Source organism: Homo sapiens, chromosome 20 (assembly GCF_000001405.40).
Source record: "Homo sapiens chromosome 20, GRCh38.p14 Primary Assembly".
In the NCBI taxonomy this organism is placed as follows: domain Eukaryota; kingdom Metazoa; phylum Chordata; class Mammalia; order Primates; family Hominidae; genus Homo; species Homo sapiens.
In genome coordinates this window covers 23,102,098-23,123,610 of record NC_000020.11, presented here as the reverse complement: position 1 = coordinate 23,123,610, position 21,513 = coordinate 23,102,098, and the positions used below count along the sequence as shown (strand labels likewise).

Genomic DNA, 21,513 nt, shown 5'->3' with positions numbered 1-21,513 from the left:
AAAGCCAGGGAGAGGCTGTGTTCCTGCCGGACTGTGGGGCTCCTTCGCTCCCCTGCTGTGGCCCTTGGTCAGGCCACTTTCCCTCTCTGGGTGTCAGTGGCTTCATCTACGAAGTGATAAAAAACTAATGCAAACCAGAGCAAAATGAGATAACACGGGGACCCCTAATGTCCCAGGGAGATGGTGAACTGAAGCACCGCGTGCGGTGAGTTGTTGCTGTCTCCACCCCTCAAGGAGACCGCAGCTTTGCAGACGTGTGGGTCCCATCATCGGCCCCATTCTACATTCCTCCCTGTGTCCCTGCCATCGCCAGGTGACTTTGCTGGGCCCTCCCACCGCCCTAACTCCCAATCCCAAGATCTTCAGTGAACGTGACGCGCACAGCAGAGGCCCAGAATGTATGTGTGCATGTGGTGACAGCTAAGCCTGCCTGGAGCAGAGCCCCAACCCTGCAGCAGCTCAAACAAGCTGAGATCAGCAAATGCACATCTGACTCTCAGACATGGGGGCAATAATAATAAATGCTGTTTGAGTTTTGGGGTCTTTGGCTACACAGCAATTGCTCACCAATATGACAGGGTTGTATGACGTGGCCATGCGGAACTGTATTATAGGGGAAGTGGTGAACAGTGTGATGAGATTTTAAAGAGGAACAGATTTACCACTGACTTTAGAAATCATGGAGGAGAAATCTCTGGGGTTGCCCTTGAAGGGTGTGTGGAGGAGGACATGGGAGAAGGGGGAAGAACCGTGGCATCCTGGCTAAACAGACACAGGGCAGAGGGAGCCTCTGTGTTGGGACTAAGATGGGGATGTCGGGGAAGGGACATGGCAAGCTGACTGTTGGTGGGGAAGGCACGTGTGGGGCTATATTGTGATCATTGTGATGTATATACATTGTCACCTCCTACTGTCTCTGAGTCCGGCTGTCCCAAGCCCCCGCCGTGGAATCCAGCAGTGTTCGGGCCAACTCTCAGAACCTTGGCTTTGTCTGGGGGACCCCTCCCAGACCACTTCACCTGCAAGCCCTCCCACACGGTGACATGACAGCCCCGCTGTCACTGCACATGATGGAGGCCCATAGGGTGGCCGACCACACTCCTGCCAGGTTGTGGGGACCTCTGCCCAGGCGCTGACCCTTTGCCCAACTGGGCAGTGCTCCAAAGCACTCAGAGTAGGAGTGCAATCATTTTTCATTCTTAGATTCAGTAGGCACACTATTTTGTCCAATTTCCATCCTTGCTTCATCATGTTAACGAATTGTGTGGACCTGTGGTGGCTCCAGGCACTGCTTGGCTTAGCATAGGCTTAGGGCACAGACTCAGGTCAGACAGGGCTGGGTTTACATCTCACTCTCAAATGGTAAGATCTTTTTTTCTGGTAGGGGAAGAAGAATTAGTAAAAATCTCTGAAACTCAAATCACTCTTGCTCCAAAACCACAGGAACACGTAGATGCTCTAGTTGACATATGAACACCCCGTAAATGTCATCATCAGGGTTGCTAATCAGCTGTACGTAGAGAGGCAGTGCTGGTGTCATCAAAAGCACAGCAAAAATAACAACAACCTGGAAGCGAGGAATGGATTCAGATCCTTCTCTCAGAAGGGGCTTTGTCCTGCCGTCGTGACCTCTGCTCAGTTCCCCAGGACAGGTGGGGGCCTGCAAGCCCAGCAGGTCCTCCAGGCTACCACCCTCCCCCTCTGCAGCCCCCACCACCCCCACCATCCTGTGCCTGGCCCTGGCTCACCAGCCCAAGCTGACCACCAGGCAGGTCTCAGCAGCAGTGCTCTCCGCTGGAAGTCGGCTCCTGCTTCTCGGGAGGCCTGAGCTCAGAGATGCAGGATACAGAAGGCTTCAAACTCCTGCCTTTCTGTTAAGAAAAAGGCTCTTATCTCTTGAGGAGTCACAATTCAGATAAGAGGCATCCAGCAGCAGGTTCCAGAGCTGGGAGGCCCGAGGAAGTGCAGCTTCTTGCTCAGGCATGGGACGCACAGGGGCGCTGGGCAAGCATCTTTTTGTGGATACACATGCCTGGTGACAGCAGTCCTGGGGGTGGGGCGGGGCATGCGGGGGGCAGGAGGGGAGGAACCCAGGAGCCATCTGCCCGACAGAAACAAGGCCTGCCGCACAACATCCAGGCGCAGGGGGCTAGTTCCGAGAGGAAAGTCTGCTTTCTTGGATTTGGGGCAAGTTTCTCATGTATCTACTTCTTCATCTGCTGATTTCTGTGGTGAACCTCCTCATCTGGCAAGATAAGGGGCAGCTTGAGAGATGGAGGGGGGGATGGGGTGCAGGGTAGGAGGAAACCAGAAGCAGGTCCTGAAAGCTGCAAGAAGTCGGTGCTCTAGGAAGGTGCTTGAGGTCTAGGCTGCTTGTGCTGGGAGACAGAGTGAGGCAGGACAGAGCCCAGACTGTGGCTTTGGTGGAATCCAAACAAAGTTAGCGGGTTTTGGCTGGGGGCGGGGGGTGGTGGCTGAGAAGAGAGTGTGCCCTAAGGAGTTGGGAGTGTCATGGGAGTCAATTATTTAATCAGCAAATGTCTCCTGAGGGTCTCTCCTGTGCCAGCCCTGCAATAGCTGTGCTGTGCAGAAGGTGAGCAAAACCAACCAGTGGGCTCCCAGCCCAGGGTCCCTGCTGGCGACAAGTTGTCGGCTACCACCACACGCATGCTTCTCCCCACACGCGTGCTTCTCCCTAGCCAAGCAGGAGGCAGTGGAAGAGCCTCTGGGAACCTTGTCCTTCAATGGGCAGTTGTGAATCATGGCAGAACCCTTCTTGAGAAAGGCAAGGTTGGAAAAACTGGAACCTGCCCTCGCAAGGCTCAAGTTGGAGACATCAGGGGCCCAGAGGCCAGAAAGAACCCTGCAGTCTTTGCTCTGTGTATGGTCAGGTGCTTGGGGCTCAACTTAGTTTGCAGATACTCCACCCCATCCCACCCCATCCCAAAGCTGACCTGAGACAAGGAAGGAAAGGGCAGGGAGAGGACCGGATTGTGGCCATGCAGGGGAGGACAGAAGCATGGCCACTGCAGCGTAAAGCGGGCCAGGGGAGGTCTTACTTTGGGTGTCTTAGTATCTGATTTGCACTGAGAAAGGGGTCACTCTGCAGCCACACCACACAGGGCAAGGGGCAACTGGGCTACCATCAGGTGTCTGCTGCCACAGCCTAGGCAAGGGACTGGGGTGGTCTGGGGAGGAGGGCATAGTGCTGGTGGCAAGAAATGGACATTTGGGGATGGACGAAGGCATGGGGTTTGCTGAAGTGTAGGAGGTGGAGGAAAGGGGGACATGGTGTGTGCGGACCGTCCGGAGGGAATCAGGCTCAGCCATGCTGAGTTGAGGGAGCCCTAGGGATACTCATCCATCTGTGGATCTGGTGCTGAGGGAGGGTCCCAGCCAACCTCCTCTATGTCATTGCACGCAGCACCCGGGGTCTAGGGGGATGTGAAGAGCATGGAACGGCTCTAGCAAACCTCAACACCAGTGCTCAAGGAAGCAGCGGGCTCAGGAGCAAGGATGTTGCAGGCTGGGAGCTGGTAAGCCTGGGCTGCGGCAGGCAGGCCTGGGCAGGGCAGAGGCGCAGAGCCCAGCTCTAGGAGATGTGGGAACAATGAGCGCCTTGGCTCTGGGTAGACAGACGTCCCTCCCAACAGATCCTCAGTTTCTGTAACTCTGGCCTGTGATGGTTGGGACTTCTCGGGCTGTACACTCAGCACAGAACATGTCATTGTTCCAGGCACAGGAAGGAAGCTTAAAATGGGTGGACCTACCAAAAAGGCTGGAGGGAGAGGGGCAGGGCCAGGAAGTCGGGGTGCATTAGTCCCTTTCCTGAAGGACCCCAGAGCCTGAAGAAGGGTCTGGCACTGTATGGGCACTCAAGGCGCATTTGCAGCCTGAGGGCAGGAGTGAGCACGGGAAACTCCTACAGGACTGGACCCAACAGCCAGGTCACCCCCATTGCAGAATTCTGGTGCACCCTCAGTCTCCTGAGTGACCCCACATGGCTCCTTCTGCCCTTTTTCTCATGCGGAACAAAATAAGGAAGTATGTGAGCCAAACAGTGTAGCCTTGGCTGTCGCACAGCTGGAGGTCAGGTCTTCTCTAGCTGTGTGGCCTCCAGCAAGTTACCTGGCTTTGCGGGAGCTCAGTGTGCTCATCTTCAAAATGGACACCATAACAATGACATTTTGGGATGACTGTCAAATCAGGGATGATGTATAGAGATGATAGACTGGCTATGTGCTTGCATATAGACCTACAAATACCACTCTTTTGAAAGGAGAGGGAGGAGCATGGACCCAGCCCAGCATGTGGGAAAGCCCAGGGAGGGTTTAAGGTGTTTTATGTTTTGGCAATGGAGAACAAGGCGGTGGCAGACGGTATTACTCAACGCTGACCCCAGCAATATTTCTGGCCCCACGTGCCCCTCTTGAACCTCGCCACCACCCATCATAAGCAGAGACTGTGTCCCCTCCCTTCATACCCCCGGGGGACCTTTGTGCTGCTTCAATGAACAAACTGTGGTGGAAGTGATGCTGCACAACATCCAAGGCCAGGCCGTAGAGGGCATGGAACTTCTGCCCGATCTCTCGGGGCATGGGCTGCGGGTGATGGTGTTGAGCTGACAGTCAGAGGTCCAGCACCCTGAGGCTGCCACGCTGGAGAGTGCATGTGTCAAGACCACAGGGAGATGGAGAGAGATGCCTGAGGAGCCTCGGCTGCTCCAGCCCACATGCTGGGTGAGGGATCCAGGAGCTTGCATGAGCCCCGCCCAGATGGCATATTTGTGAGTAAAGCAGATGTTGTTGGATGTGTGTCTGAGGACTGCGGAGGTTTGCTACACAGCAACACCTGACAACGAAGGGTTCTTGGTCAGAGGCTCGGTCATGAGTGGGTTTGTAACACCTCTTCCCAAAGCCAGCTTCTCCCCTAGGGCTGTGAGTGATTTGAGGGCCAAGCTTCCTGGCATCAAACTCTTCTCCCCGCTGGTCTTTGCTGATGCATTCATCATGACATAGAATTTCATTCACTGGGCTGCGGCATTTTACTCTTTACCCAGAAAGTCATTTAAACTCTAGTGTGAATGAGTGTGGGGTGATTTTTCCAAAGCAGGGGGCCCTGGGTGCCTGAGAAGAGAGTGAAGAGCCTGAGGGACACCTTTTGGAGCTCCTTCCTGCCCAGACCCCAGCTGCAGCTGTTCTGAGAAAAGCCTCTGTCAGCGTGGGCTCAGGGACTGCCCCTCCTGCGGCATCCCCCTGCTGTCCTCTCACGGGCATTTCCCCAAGGGCCCGCTCGTGTTAGAGCTCTAGCTCTCCGCTGGTCACCTTCAGACTGACGATATATTCACTCCAGGCCTCTTGCTTCTAATTTCTCAAGTGAGTTGCCATTCATACCAGCCCCTCATCTGCCTCACCGGACTTCCCACCTAATGCAGCCAGGGTGCCCTCTGCTTTGCCCACCACTCCAACAGAGGATGTCTGCCCTAAAGCCTGCAGGCCCCATGCCAGGGCAAGGCAGGCCCTGCCTTCCACCAGGTACAAGGTACAACACAGAGTGGCATGCAGCCACTGCTAGGGAATATTTTTTGTTAAATTGTGGCCCAAGGGAGGTCTGGGCAGGGCTTGAATACTCCATTCAGAAGTTATGGCTGATGTGCCCTGGTAGGCATGCGTGTGGCCTGCTGGCGGGAAGCAGCTGCTGCTCGCTGTCCCAGAGTGTCCCCTGCCTCCTGACCCCTCCCCAGGGTTCCCATTCCTCCAGGGCTCTCTACAACCCAGCAAGGGCTTGGAGCCGGCTCCAGCCTCTGTTCTGAGGGGCGGGTGCTCGTGCCCAGTCGGTGGTGAGTATTTTTCGTAAGACCCCTGGATACAAACAAAGCCATGTCTGCAAAATACCAGATCCCTTGATGGAAAGTCTCTTGAACATGCTGCGGCCTGCTCCGCCCTAGCATGTGCAGCCCAGCCATTTCCACTTTGCTCCCGGAAGATGCCTGACCATGAGCTTTCACTTGTAGTTTCAGCAACATTCCTAGGATCATCATTAAAATAATTCATGTTCTCTTCAAATGCCAGCACAGAATAAAGTCACAGGCCCCTCACCTCTAGGGACTCTGAGAGGCCAAACTTTGAAAGAAAAGAAAAATGCCTGAGGTGAGATGATTGAGAAATTAAAACTGTGTGCCCGTGATCTGAGCCTTGGAATTCAGCTGTGGCCATCTCCAGGAAAGGCATCCCCACAGAGCATCCACCCCTGGCTGGAAGATAATGCGGTCGCAGAAGCTCAGGCCAAGTTCACCCCACCCCACGCATGCAGAAATAGTGCAGAAGGTCGGCCGAGACCCTCACTAATGGAGAGAGAAGGGCTAACACATACAGGTAGGATTTGGAAATATGAACAAAAAGGTGGGCTTTGCAGTTTTCACAGTCAGAGATCATCTGGTCAAATTTCTTTATTTTCCAAATGGAAAAACTGGCTCCAGTGAGGTAAGTCTCTGGTTCAAAGTCACCCATTTTCCAAAGGTCTGGTCTGGATCTGAGATTGCTCCAAGCCCAGTACAGCTTGCCCTGTGTGGCATTGGGTCTGAGTGACTCATGCACGACCTAGCAGGAGAGACAGACTAGAAAAAAGCTCCAGGGTCTAAAACCCAAGGCCAGATGGTGAGTCGTGGGCCAGTGAGGGAGATGATACACAGAGAGCAGCAGCCTGATTTGGAGGGGATCTGTCTTGCAGGGACCACTCTGAGGTGTGTTCCAGACCATGCTCAGCGGTGCCCAGCAGGATGGAGCTCTGCTGTTTGTGGAGGCCACCTGCTCACGCACCCACTGAGCTCATGACTCCTCCCACCCTGCCCTGCTTCACGGCCCTGCCCCTGAAGGCTGCCTCCTGGGTCCTCTCCAGATAAGCCACATTCACTTGCATCCTTAACTGGACACTTCTATCCAAAGACAGGCTGGAGCCTTTGGAAGCTGACAGCCACAGCTTGGGGAACAGTGTGACCCCAGGCTTTCCTGGCATTCACGTTGAATCACTTGTCTAATGTCACACAGCATTTAAGAGGCAGATCCAGGATTTGAAGCAGATCACTGGGCCCTGGAGGCTACACTGTTCACCACCCTGCTGTGATGCCTTCAGAAGATAAAACAGGCACATTCCGGGTAAATATGCAGGCTAACGCATGCATGGAAAAAATTTCCCTGGTATGAACATGTACGTGAGTAGAAAAAGTTGCTTAAGACCTATGATGCCAGAGAAAGTGGGCATGACTGTGACTCAAGATGTGGAGCTGGCGTGAAAAGAGGGGCAGGAACTGCATCCGCAGTGAGCCTCCCATGCATTCCTGGGGGCTCCAGCAGCAAAGCAGGATTTTGGAAATAAGGAAAGCTGCTTGTTCGAAATAATTTTCTTCTGTCAGTCCAGCCTTTAATTAGCCAAGGTAAAAACATTGAACTAGGAATCCCGAGACTTAAGCTTGAGTCCTGACCCAACCTATAAATTCACTGTGTGACCTTGGGAGGCTTGCATAACCTCTCTGAGCTTTCCCTTCTTTGTAAATTGCACAATATTACCTTCAAATGTAATCATGTGAGAAAGAAACTGCAGCTGCTTCTTGGGTTTAGAGCTGCAGCATCTGTGTGGGTTCTCAGAAGTACCATAGCCCTGACTACAAATTATCTCATAGCCAAGAGAACAACCTCATGGAACTCGAAAGTTGAAATTCACTCAGTCTGGGTTTTTTATATTTATTCTGGGGAACTTTTGGGGAAATGACTACAGTCAACCACTCTTATGCAACAATAAAGACGCAGACATTTTTTGAAAGAAAACTGAGTTCTAGTCAAATTAATGAGATTAATATAAGTAATTAATTTATTGGAGAAGAATTTATCAATTTGGATAGCCTTTTATTTTCATTTGGAATTTGAAATTACATTAGTAGAGATAAGTTGATGGTTTTTAGTTTCATTATTATGACACGTTGCATTAAAAACAATACTTTCCAGGTGACATCGATAGTTAAGAAAAAGTTAGAGGATAAAACCTCAAAAAGAGTAAGAAATCTAAAAGTCTAGATCAGTGTTTTACAGAACTCAGGTTTTCAGATGACTCCTTTGGGATAATCAGCTTTCTGCAGTTATGTTATGTATGGGACATTTTTGGGTGGCAATAAAGAAAAAGAGGTAGGGGTCAGGCCTATGGGACTGGGAGGCCCGCTACGCAACTCAGAATGGCTGGGACTTCTCGGAGCCCATGCTTCCATTTAGAGGGCCCAATAGAACCGTTTTCTTTGTGGCAGATAAAACCATGGCTAAGTGCAGTGGCTTACGCCTGTAACCCCCACACTTTGGGAGGCTGAGGTGAGAGGGTCATTTGAGGTCAGCAGTTCACAACCAGCCTGGCCAAAATGGTGAAACCCGTCTCTATTAAAAATACAAAAATTAGCTGGGCATGGTGGCAGGCACTTGTAATCCCAGCTACTCAGGAGGCTGAGGCAGGAGAATTGCGTGAACCTAGGAGACGGAGGTTGCAGTGAGCAGAGATCTCACCACTGCACCCAAGCCTGGGAGACAGAGCAAGACTCTGTCAAAAAAAGAAAAAAAGAAAAAAAAAAAAACCACACAAAAACAAAAAGGACCCAGAAGCAGTCCTTCAGGTTAAATGATACTTCCTTGTCATATGAAGGCCGCATGGGCCCAGTGCCCTGCTGGGCAAATGGAGTTTCCCAGTAATTCGGAATTGGGGGAACCTACACTGTGAGCCCCATGGCGCTCTGAAGGCTGAGACTTGGTGTTAGCCAGGAACTGTCCTTTTGTTGTTGTGTTACATCACTGTGTTAAATTGAACCATTCTGGTGTTCTAGGCTTGTTTTATCATATTTGTAAATGTTTCGGTTTAGTAGTTACAGGAGAGTTAGAGCGTATGGTAATGTTATCTGATCTGACTAAAGTACTATTTAAGGACAGCGGTGGGAAATATGGCCTATGAGAGCCCAAATGTTACAGGCTACAACTGAGACTCCAAAGAGAACCTGGCCTCTCAGACTCAGCAAATGGAATTCTTGGTTCAAGGGCTGGTTTGCCCAGCATGTGTCGGTGCCCACACTTGGAGCAACCTGCCAGCACCAGGATGGGTCCCACTGGAGGAAGCAGCAGTCGATGCTCTAATGCGGTGGGAAGAACAAGGAGCAATTCTGAAAACAGAAGTGTCAAAGTTACCATCCCTTCTCTTGGTTCCTGAGAATCCTTGGCCAGAAGACACAAACACCTGCCTTCCTTGCTCCAGGAACCAGAGAGGTGGTGTAGACCTCAGGAAGTCTGCTCAAGGACAAGAGGCAGTCAGCGGCTTCCAGAACAGCTTCTAGATTGTGGGGGAGTGGGGAAGGGCTGGTCTGGGAGCAGGAAGAAGCTCAGTTCTGCTGCTGGCTGGCTGTGTGCCCACAGACAAGGAAGTCTCTTTCACTGTCCAAGCCTGAGTTTCTTTAAAATAAAATGTAAAGTTAAAATAAAATGTAAGAATGCAGTGGCACCCTAGATGTAAACTGTGTGTGCCTCGTCACAGAGCAGGTGCAGAGCAAATGCCAATTCCTTCCCAGTGCCCAGCCCACCCCAGGCCCACGGGGGGCTGCCTGGCCTCTGTGCCCAGCCTGAGACTACACTGAACTCAGGGGCTGTCATTTCCCCTCAAGGTTGCTCTGCTCGCAAATCATCTGATTTCATCAGGACAGTGAATGGTGGAGGGAGGTTGAGGCAGCAGGGTAAGTAAGTATCTGTGAGACGACCAACAGCTATTCTGGACTTCGTAAAAATGTAAAGCTCTCTGAAGGACATAGCATAACAGGCACAGCTTTCCTCAACTAGTTGAAGTGGTTCTTGGCTTTCCTGGTCTAATGCAACTCACGGGACAAATGGCTGGTGGTCCTCTATCCTCCCTGCCCTCTGAGTCATTCTCCAGCCTGGCTCGGGCCTGTGCACCAGGTCTTGTGCCTGCTGGGGCCTCTAAAGCCATCCATGTCTCCAGGTCTCTGCAACAGCAGCAGGATTCCAGTGGCAAGCTGATAGGAGAAATTTAACAGGGCTTTTCCTGTCTACCTTGACTGGATTGTTCTTATTTTTATTTGCAGAAACCAGAGTAAGGCAGCCCATCCATCAATCAATGCCTGCTGCTCCTTATGCCCCCATGGCAGGTATCAAACTCCTGCTGCATTCTGGGGCCTGACGAAGAGTTGCAGATGCATGTGGAATGGGCTGAACTCTGAACCCATGTGTTCATGTAGTACCTTTGCCACGTAGATGCATACTCCAGCTACTGCTCTAGGTACTAAGGATGGATTAGTCACACATCAGGCGAGCCTCTGCTCTTGTAGAGCTGTAAGGTGACCAGTGCAATGAAGGAAGATGGGGAGGTGAGGGAGGTAAGACCTGGGAATGTGGGGGAGGGGGCAAGTACCTGCAGAAGCTGAGTGTGTGAGCTATGAGGAGAACACCACAAGAAAGAGTATCCAGGCAGGGGGAGAGGTGAACTCACAGTTTCTGAAGTGGCCTGTGCTTAGCATATTCTAGAAAAGCCAGGGAGCTAGTAGGGCCAGGAAGGAGTGTTTTGTCTTATTTTGTTTTTCAACAAATGAATGAACACATGGGAACAGTGCATGCTGGCTAATTACCATGTAAACTATTCACCTGCTCTTGCTGGTAGGATGGTAATGCTTCCTGAACAGAGGTGTCCAGTCAGCCTGGCTCAGCATGCCCTGCCTACACAGGGATGATAAGCCATCACACAGCTTGTGGGTCTGAGCCATGCTGCACAGTTCCACCAGACACAGAAGTCGTGCCTCCAAGGACCTGGGCAAGGCCAAACTCCACCTGCAGGAACCACACAGCTGTTATAGCTGATGTCCTGGCTTCCTGTGCTGGAGGAGCTGTCTGGGTCTTCTGGATTTTGAAGCTGGAGACATCTGAGCTGTGGCATTTTGCTGTAGTTACTGCACTTCTTTGAGTATCTCATTAATTTCTAAAATGGGCATAGTAATAACTAGTAGCATGTAGAATTTTGGGGAGGAAAATCAGAACATGTAAGTGATACTGGCTGAATTGTGTCCCCAAAATTCATTTGTTGACCTTGTCACCTCAGCACCTCAGAACTTGACCTTAGTAGGAGAAAAGTCCTTTAAAGCAGTGAGTAAGGTAAGTGAGACCCTGGGGGCTAGCTGAAACCCTAATGCAATAGGACTATGTCCTTACGAGAAGAGGAGATGAGGACGCAGACACTCACAAAGGGAGGACTGTGTGCGGAGCAGGGAGGAGAGGGGCATCTGCAGGCCAGGGAGTGAGGCTCAGAGGAGCCGGGCCTACCCACACCTTGATCTTGAAACTGCAACCTCCGGAGCTGTGAGAAGACACATTTCTGCCTTTGCCCCTGCCTGTGGGGCTGCCAGAGCAGCCCAAACTGACTAAGTCAGCTGGTGAGGACCCCTGGGAATGCTCGCCTGTGAAATTCGGCCCACGGACTCCGGGGAGGCCCCAACTGTCTGTGGTGGCAGGTTTGGAGTGACCATGGGCTGGATGTCCTCACAGCTCCTCTTACGTTTTTAAAAAAAGTGACATTGATGTAGCTTCGAGGCTGATAGGGCCAGGGCCATTTCATTATTTTGGCTTAAATGTGTGTATTTGCCATTTTTTCACCCTGCCCCGAAGCCCCTTGCTGTGTGCCGGCCCATGGGGCGCATGTCTCTGGGGGCAGGGTGGGAGCTAGAAGTGGATTTCGACAGGTGCATCAGGCCCTGCCCTGTCGCCTCACCCTAGTGGCCCTGGGTCTCAGGGTCCTTATGTGTGAGCACAGGGCGATAACAACGCCTTCGAGAACCCAGCCAGTTCCCGCAGGATTCTAATGTGGTGATGGGGAGGGGGGCACTGATGCTCCTCTCCCATCTTTGGTTCGCCCCGAGCTCAGAGCTCAGCTCACAGCCTGTCCTCACTGACCATGAGTCCCTCAAGCATCAGCACTTCTCGGTCCTTAGCCTGAGCAGCAGCCCGTGCAGGGCAGCTGGGAGAGCCAGGGCATAAAAGCTTCAGCCACCCTCTGTGGTGAGGGGCAGGAGGCAGCTGCTGGCAGGTCAGCTCTTGGACGTTTCACACCTGTCCTTTCGAGACTGTGCTCCAGCTCCCAACAGAGCACCAGTCTCGGGAAGCACCTGCCCTGTCTCCTCTCCCTTCCCCATCTCCCTTCCCCTGACCCCACCTCCCAAGTTAACCACCTGCCTCCAGGTCTTTGTCTCAGGGTCTGCTGTGGGATCTCAAACCATAACAAGGAGTGAAGCAAAAAGCTTCATGAATATCATTGCTGCTAAAACATCATGCATCTCTGGATCCAACTCTTGCTGGTCCCAAGCCTGACTTTGAGTAACCCTGTATATTGCAAACTACAGACATGCTCTCCAATTGCCTCAGGCTCTGAGCATTTATTGGAAAAACACAGGCACATTAACCTCCAGGTTAAGCACTTCTTAACCTGGAGGGCTCGCTAAAACCCAGCGTTCTCATTCAGTGGACGGAGTTTGTGATAAGTTGAATAATTTCCCCAAAAGGAGATGTTGCAGTCCTAACCCCCAGTGCTGTGCATGTGACCTTATTTGGAAAAAGGGTCTTTGCAGATGTAACTAAGTTCAAAGGCAGGCACATTCAGGATGGGCCCTAATCCAGTGTGACTGAGGTCCTCATAAGAAGAGAAAAGAGAGACACAAATGTAAACACATAACGGGGGCAGATGGCCATGGGAAGATAGAGACAGAGCTTGGAGTGATGTGGCCACAAGCCCAGGGACACCTGGGTTTCCAGGAGCTGAGAGGAGCAAGGAGGGCTCCTTCCCTAGAGGCTTCAGAGTGAGCGCAGACCTGCTGACACCTTGGTCTCAGACTTCTAGTCTCCAGAGCTGTCATTTTAAGCCACCCAGTTTGTGGTACTTTGTTTTGTCAGCCCCAGGACATTAATCCAGGGGTAGGAACTTTTCTTTCTTCCTTCCTTCCTTCCTTCCTTCCTTCCTTCCTTCCTTCCTTCCTTCTTTCTTTCTTCCTTTCTTCCTTTCTTTCTTTCCTTCTTTTGAGACGGAGCCTTGCTCTGTTGCCCAGGCTGCAGTGTAGTGGCAAGATCTCAGCTCCCAGCAACGTCTGCCTCCCAGATTCAAGAGATTTTCCAGCCTCAGCCTCCCTAGTAGCTGGGATTACAGGTGCGTGCCACCACGCCCAGCTAATTTTTGTATTTTTAGTAGAGACAGGGTTTCGCCACATTGGCCAGGCTGGTCTCAAACTCCTGACCTCAGGTGATCCACCCGCCTCGGGCTCTCAAAGTGTTGGGATTACAGGTGTGAGCCACTGTACCTGGCCGGAACTTTCATTTGTAACAAGATCCTCCATGCTGCAGATGCTACTATGGGGAGCTCACTTGGAGGACAGCTGGCCCAAGTCACGCCTGCCCCTCCCAGCCTGGCCCAAAACACACACGCACTTGGAGAGAGTCTGAACTCCACACCCACAGCCAGCCATCTCTTCAGCTTCCTCTCCACCAGACCCTCCTTCCCATGTGCCCTCCTGGGGTGTAAAGGGTCCTGGCACCCCTCTCCTCCATGGATTTGCGTATACCCATCACTCTGCCTATATCCCTCCATCCTGGTCTAGACAGCTCCAACTCCACAATTCATAGCAGATGCAATTTCCTACAGAACTTCAGAACAGTTTGGGTCAAGATTGTTTCAAATAAGTTCCTGGACACTTAAAATTAGCTTCACCTTCTGCTTCCCCCACCCCAGTGTTCAGTGGAAGGACTTGTTTATTATTGTACAGTCCTGGGGCGGTGGGCAGTGTCCTTGGTTTGAGCAGCATGGAGGACTTCAGCTTCCTCCCATATCTGGCCGAGCCCACCACACAACATATCGTGATTGCTAACAAATACCTTGGGCGTGTTGCCTGCCCCAGCAAGTCCCTCCAAGTCAGGAAAATGAAAAGCAGAGATTGCCATTGTTTAATGAACATAACTCAAATTTCCCATGGCCTGCCTGGACCTCAGGAGAGGGTCCAGTCTTTACTCAGCAGGTGGCCACAGAGCCTGAACTGACTGCATTCTACCACAAGCCACACTAAAGTTCAGTAAAGGGGAAAGCAGGGGGAGACGGCCCGGTTCCCACTGGACGCCAAAGCCAGGGCTGGAAACCATCGCATCCACCCTTTGGCTTCTCCTCTCTGGTGCGTGGTGCATTCTAAACCCACTGGAGGTCACAGCAAAAGCCTAGAAGCTTGTGAATTCTCAAGATGCTTTGGGGAAGTAAACACAAAGGAATTCAAAGTCCAGGGCACTGGGAGCCCATTTTCTCTCTCAAGGAGTGGGGCAGACGTTTGCCTGAGAACCTGCCCCAAGGGCCACATGTGGTCTCTGAGGTAGGTCAGTAAAGCACACCGGAGGAAGCCAGAAAAGGGGACTTTCAACCCCAGAGCCATCCTTGTGTGGCTGAACTCATGCCAGACATGGAACAAAACTGCTGACTTTGTAAGAAAGAGGTCCTCTTGCAACCTCTGGTCCCTGGATGTGCCAAGGTGCTGACCAGAGCTGCAAAACAGGCAAAGTCACCAAATTGCTCCAGGTCAGGAGCCCGCATGCAAGCTTCTAGTTACACCTTCCCATTTTCCTTCCAGTTTAGGAATTGTACTTTAATACAGAGATGTTTTTGGAACCAAAAAGTCATCCATAGTCTACTACCCAGAGAGGCTCACTGCAGGCAGGTCATCAGGTTTCTGCAAAGTTTTAGATATAGTTGAGGTTACTCTGAAGAGTTTCAGATCTTGGGTTTCTCCTACTTGAATGTTTAAAGATAAACATTGCCTTGTATATGCACAAACTCATTGCCAACATAATTTAATTGATGCATAACACATCATGTGTTTACATGACAGTTTACCTAATCATACTACTATTGTTGAATTGGTACAATACTCTACTTTGTTTCAATAATGGTTTCATGATATTAATGCAGAACACTGATTTTGTAATTAAGATGATTGTCTTAGAATGGACTCTCTTAAGAGCGAGGATCTGGAGAAAAACACACAGATTTTCCACCTGTGCACCTACGTGCACACACACCACACTCACACACACTTACACACACATACAACTTAGATTTTAGTTTGGCTTCTGTCGCTAACCGGATGTTTCAACATGGTCAAGTCACTTAACCTTTCTGGATCTGATTTCTTTGCATCTGTGAAACAAAAGGCCGAAGAAAAAGGCCTCCGGTTCCCTCCAGCTGGAGCATGGGATGATTGTTCCCAAAAAGATTCACGTGGCTCTTTCCAGGGTAAGCTTTAATAATGAGTGAGTCTATGTCTGCACCCAGGCTTGAGCATGTTTGAGTAGGCTCCTCTATCTAAACCATTTTTTTTTGTATGTATCCTTGGTGGAATCCATATATTAATGATTTATAAATGATTTTTCAGTTGGAAAATAACACAGCCACCAGCTTGTGTGCCCTGCCATGTGACGTTAGCAGGGTTGACTTCTTCTGGTTATTCCTCACATCAAGTATCAAGACTATGGGTGAGAGAAAGGTAGGTGGTTTTAAAATCACAACTGAAAAGCATGCAAACAAAACCCCTAACTCTATCACACTCTCCAGTGTAAGAGATCAACTTAGGCCTGGTCTGGTCTCTTAAAACCTCCCTTTCTCATAGACTTGGGAGTACCATCTAGGGATGGCAGGTATTCAGTTATCCAAAATTCCCCAAGCACCTTTCTTTAAACCAGGGAGAGAAACTAATAGTTTAAATCACAAATAATGTACAAGAGCTACAAAGTATGAGTGGGCTTTTTGGATGTGGATTTGTCAGTACTGATTTGTGGGAGCCTCACTGACCAGCTGCAGGGCAGGGAGCTCACAATCCAGTAACATTCGGCAGAGGTGGGGGATTTCCATGCTTCCGGGGATTTGGCATAACTCCTCCAAACTCTGGTCTCTAATCATCCACCACATGACCCCTGGGACCCTGACATCCAGTCTGGACTTGATTGTCTTCAGATTGTTCACCTGCAGCCAGTTCTGGGGCTGAAGGCTAGGGCTACCTTCCTTCCTGCAGCCCCATGGCGCCATGAACTCTCCAAGTTGCTTTGCTTTTTATCCCCAAGAGGCTGAGTCCCCCTAATAGCCATGTGCCTGCTGGAAACTGATGTAACCCACAAAAGCTTTTCCAAGTGATGGGTTATCACCAGGTCAAGGTGAGAAAAATGAGGTCTTTGGAGAGTCAATAAGTTTGCTCCAGGTCAAAGCAGATGATGTAGATGTGGACAATGCCGAGGCTGAGGGTGACTAACAGATCTTAACACACAGAGTGTTAAAAATCTGTTCACATCTTGCCATTTTTACTCTTATAGCATCAGTGAGCTAGAGCTTTAATACCTTAAACAAGTATATTTGAATACTGAGGCTCACAGCGGAAACAAGCTTCTTTCAAGATTTTAAAATTGCTACCAGCTTTGCGATAACACAGCATTCCCGATTCCTAATCTAGTTGTCTTTCTGAAAGTAGGTTTTAAACAAGTAATATTTGAGAAGAGGAAAGCAGCCTCATGCAGGATGGATGCAGCCCTAAGTTACTACAGTGCACGACCCCAAAGGTCAGCTTAGAGCAAAGCACTCAGGCTGGGCCATGCAGCCCCACTGCTCACATGGCAGGTCCTTCTGTGCGTGAAACTCTAAAGAGGCTCTGGGTCTATGAAACATGAATTTTTCTAGTTTCTCTCATGGGCTTTGCCAGCACCTCCCAGCACAGCCTTTGCTCGATTGTTCTTGTGGTCAGCAGTGCTCCACTGACAGCAGAATGGCAGGGCACCCAGCAAGGCGAAGCTGGCCCTGCAAAGAAGCCCAGAGACAGGAGCCGAGTGTGATATAAACAACAGCTGACAGGCAAGGCTGACACAATATCCTGGCTCTTGATTCTCATAGAATAAACAATTTGACAAACTTCCTGAAATCCGTGCCCTGCACCACACCAGCAGAAGAAAACATTGGACTTCCATATTAGGCTTGGAGCGTAGCTGGCCGGTTGAACTGAAATCCTCCATTCTACCTGCAGGGGTAGAACCAGTGATTGCCCAGCATCCCCTGACACTAACGTTTGAAGGTTTTATCATTCTATGCTTAGGCATTGTAACTAAGCACCAGGGTTAAACAGGGTTAACCCTGACTTCTTTTCATGCTACCCCTTCTCTGCCCAGATTTCCAGAGCTGGAGGCCTCACACCTGGTGGTGTACGGGAGCCGGCCTGGGCTGACTTAGGCTTGTTTGCAAGAGCAGATTGTGAAATTTCCAGGAATCTCACAAGCTGGTTCTTAAACACAGTCATTATTAAAAATAAACTTTGTAAACCTACAGGTAAGTAAATTATATTTTTTTAAAATAATAAATAGTAAAACCTGCATGCCTGATGATTTTTACTGCAACGTGTGCTCTTAAGGTTATCTGCATCTGTGGAGCCTCCTGTTCCGCGGCAGGCTGCTCACACCTCCTCCCTGCTCCATGCTCCACAACATCATGAGGAGACTGAAGCTGACCCTGGTGGAGGTATTTATACCACGGAAAGAGGCAAATGATACAAATGGGTTATTTTTTTTCCTGAAAAGCTGTAGTTAATAATTTGCTGGGCCCACTGCTCATAGGTCATTGCTATGCATTCTAGCAACCAGCACTGGGCTGGGTGCATGGAAGCCAGACATTCCCCAGATGTTCTCTTCCAGAGAAGCTCCTTGGAGTTTCTCTGAAATTTCTTACTGTGAAAGAACTTGCTGAGCATCTTTGAGGGCAATGCTAGCTGAGACACTTGGAGACCCACCTCCAGCAGAATGGTGACCACATTGGCTCTTTCCCCGGCCCCTGACTTCTTGCCCCACATTTCCGGACCTTCTGCTCCCGAGGTTGCGGCACAGGCAGTGTAGGGAAGTCAAAGAGCCTGGAGTTTGAATCTCACCTTGAGCACAGCCTTGGCACAAAAACTTGGTCTCTACATACCCCAGTCTCCTTGTCTGTAAATTGAGATGATCACAGGACCCTCTTCCCCGTGTTGTTATAAAGCTCAGGAAGCAGGAAAAGTCAATAACCAAATACATCGTTCCTGGTCCTACTCTTACCCTGGCATGGAGCCCTGGCTCTCCTCACAAGCACTTCCTCACCAGCCTGAGCCAGCCTCACCTGGCTTGCAGGGGTGTGACAGGCAGTGCTGGAGCCCAGTGGGTCCAGGGTCTATACACACTGCAGGGGCTTCAGGGTTGAGCAGGAGACAAGGGTCAACTGCAGGGCAGAATGGGTCCCTGAACCTGGCATCCATAGTGGACTTTGGCAGGCCTGGACAATATCACAGCCAAAAGTCACGGTCTGATCAGAAAACTGGAGGAGCAAAGTGTCAATCAAATGGTCCCACGGGCACTCCCGATGCCGGTTCCAGGCTGACAGGGCCACCTCCTGTGGTATCTGGAGCAAATCAGCACAGAGACCCTCTGTGTTAGTCAGAACTCTCAATGTTAACCAGCACATCCTCTTTCTTTATTCTTTCTCCACCCTCCACCCTCCTCCCCAGGACCCCGACCTCACCTCACAGTCGCCAACTCCCTTGGCCCACTCCTGTCTCTGGTAGTTTCTGTTCATCGAGGAGTGACAAGTCACCAGACATGGGAATCAGCACTCAGCGCATAAACCAAAGAAAACAGGAAAATTCAAAAACACCTTTTCACTTCAACAAAGCCTCCCTTTAGGCTGAACTGAGGTTTTGTGGAGGTGCACTGTTATTCTGCAGGCCATTATATAAAAGTCACAACAATTCAATGAACCACAAAGAGAAGAGAATTCTGTGCACAATCATTACTTGATTCTACACCAATACCATTACTCAGTGACTCCTCTTTCCATGTAATAAATGTCTAGTGCAGTCGGTCACTTAAGATTTCTTGAAGCAAGTTTGATTTCTCTACTAATTTCTAATTTCCTGCTACACCCCTTTCCCCTCCTTCCCTGAGAGAGACCCTCAATCGCTACTCTCGCATGCCAGACTCTGGCTACATTTTCTGGCATTACATCAATCAAACTTGGTTTTGGAGTTTTTAACTTGTCTGTGAGCTCCTTGAGGGCAAGGCTGTCTATTTTATCCCAAACCCGGTACCTAACCAGGTCTTCAGGCTGCCTGTCAGTGGTTTGGAGGGAATTGCATGCGGAGGACCTCTGAGGAGTTGTAAAGACATCATGACTCAGACATACAATGGTGAAGGCGCAAAACGTGCCCCAGTTACCTCTCCTCTCCCTTCTGCTGGGATGAAAGGCCCCTGGTGCTTGAGTGTCGGGGAGTCGATAACAACTTTGTGCAGGCCCCTCAGGGAACTCCCCTGGCTAAGAACAGTGGGGTGAGAGTGATGCCTGCAAAGCAACCTGCCTGGAGGGAAGCCTTTCAGAAAACTCAGATGGATCACAGGGAGTGGTGGGCCCTTCTCTGTCTCCCTCAAATCATGCACAACAAAATCCGGAAACCATCTAAATCTCATCAATAGCAGAATAGATTTGCAAAACCGTGGCATATTCACAAAGTGGAATACTCAGCAGTGAGATGAACAGCCTGCAACCACACACAATGCGGATGAATTGCCCAAAGACGCCAGATACAAAGAGCACACACCCTGCATGCATGGATGCTCAACAGCCCAACGTGACCATCGCTGCTGTCAGAGCGGGGAGTATGGAGCCTGGGGGAATGACCCGGGGGTCTAGGGAGCAGAGAATGTTCTGCTTCTTGATCTAGGAGCTGGTTATGTGATGGGTTCAGCTGGTGAAGATTCCCCCGGCTGCTGGGCATGACATATGCGAGGTAACCGGGCACAGAGGAAGTCACCTATCCCACCTTCACAGAAAGCATCTGCACACATTCCCTCCCCTACCCGCCAAGGAAAAATTCTCCAACTCCAACTCTTCTGAGTGGGAGTTGGCATCATTTATAGGAAAAAAAAAACCCTGAGCTGATGTCATATCTTTTCTTGTTATTTTAGCTTGCCTGTCATTATTTTTTGTTCTTTTAAATGAGCTCCTCCACTTTTTTTTTAAACTTCCTTCCTGGCATTTGAGTCATTTCCCAATGTCTTCGTGTGCTTTAGAGAAGGAACTTGGTAGCCAACATGGTCTGTGAGTTCTACTGTTTGTTTCTCCAGGAGTCTTCTATCCAGATGCAGGCAAGAGCTGGGCAGAAGGTTTTTTTATTTTTATTTTTATTTTTTGTTTTTATTTTTATTTTTTTATTTATTTTGAGACAGAGTTTCACTCTTGTTGCCCAGGCTGAGTGCAATGGTGCGATCTCGGCTCACCACAACCTCTGCCTCCTGGGATTAAGTGATTCTCCTGCCTCAGCCTCCCAGGTAGCTGGGATTACAGACATGTGCCATCACGCCCAGCTAATTTTTTGTATTTTTAGTAGAGATAGGGTTTCTCCATGTTGGTCAGGCTGGTCTCAAACTCCCGACCTCAGGTGATCCACCCGTCTTGGCCTCCCAAAGTGCTGGGATTACAGGCGTGAGCCACTGCTCCCGGCCTGGGCAGAAGGTTTTGAAGAAATAAGGCATGAGAACAATGGCTCGATTTTGCCTTAAGGCAAGACTGTGAAAGATCACCTTTACTAAAATCCCTAAGGCAGATAAAGATCCCATTGTCTAGTGGTGAGAGCTCACTGTCACACAACCCAGGGAAGGCGCTTTCAATCGGCCCCTGATTTTCCAGCAACACTGGGCAGGAGTGAGTGCTCTGTTAGGAACATAGCTAGGCCAGCCCTGGGTTTCTTGCTCCATGAAGTGTTTTCCTTTCCTGGTGCACAGTCTTGAACATTGACCTGGGCAGATTCAGGGTGAATTAACATACCCTTAGCTGGCATGAGGGGGAGAAAGACCCAGACACCTTCACCGTTGACATCAATACTGAGGGCTAAAACATCTCACCCCATTTTTAGCTTATTCCCATCTGGCTCTAAGGACCCCTGACAGGGCCAGTGTGGGTATCCAAGCTGGTCTTCAGCACCCTTCCCAGAACCCCAGGCTCTTATCCGGCCCTCAGCTGCCCCATGCTTCCCTTCAGTTAGAGAGGTCCACCTCTGAACCTGCTAAGAGGTATCCATGCACCCTCAGTGGTGGCTGGGGCCAACAAGCCCCGCAAACTACAAAAACATCATATAAAATAATGGGAGGGGTGGGCAAACTGCAGCATGTGGACCAAACCAGCCTGCGGCCTGTTTCTGTAAAGAAGGTCTTATTGGAACACAGCCATGCCCATTGCTGTACATATTGTCTATGGCTGCTTTTAAGCCTCAAAGATGGACTTAAATAGTTGCAACAGAGACCAGTGGCCTGCCAAGCTGAGAATATTTAGTGTATAGGCTCTTACAGGAAGTGCTGCAGATCCCTGATGTTATGATGGTAATGGTGTTCCTTTGCTTCTGTAGTGTGTTACATTTTAACAGAA

General features: G+C 50.2%; 4 annotated features.

Annotated features, from left to right (window-relative positions):
• Nucleotides 5,173–5,352: an enhancer, noted in NCBI's record as "active region_17630". NCBI's record gives its function as "activates an Ori minimal core promoter by ATAC-STARR-seq in GM12878 lymphoblastoid cells {active_cell/tissue: GM12878}" and the evidence as "EXISTENCE:reporter gene assay evidence [ECO:0000049][PMID:35858748]".
• Nucleotides 6,620–6,802: a silencer, noted in NCBI's record as "fragment chr20:23097446-23097628 (GRCh37/hg19 assembly coordinates)". NCBI's record gives its function as "represses an EF-1alpha promoter that drives an FKBP-Casp9 reporter gene in an ReSE screen in phorbol 12-myristate 13-acetate-treated (for megakaryocytic differentiation) K562 erythroleukemia cells {active_cell/tissue: K562(+PMA)}" and the evidence as "EXISTENCE:reporter gene assay evidence [ECO:0000049][PMID:32094911]".
• Nucleotides 6,620–6,809: a biological region, named in NCBI's record as "ReSE screen-validated silencer GRCh37_chr20:23097446-23097628".
• Nucleotides 6,740–6,809: a silencer, noted in NCBI's record as "silent region_12721". NCBI's record gives its function as "represses an Ori minimal core promoter by ATAC-STARR-seq in GM12878 lymphoblastoid cells {active_cell/tissue: GM12878}" and the evidence as "EXISTENCE:reporter gene assay evidence [ECO:0000049][PMID:35858748]".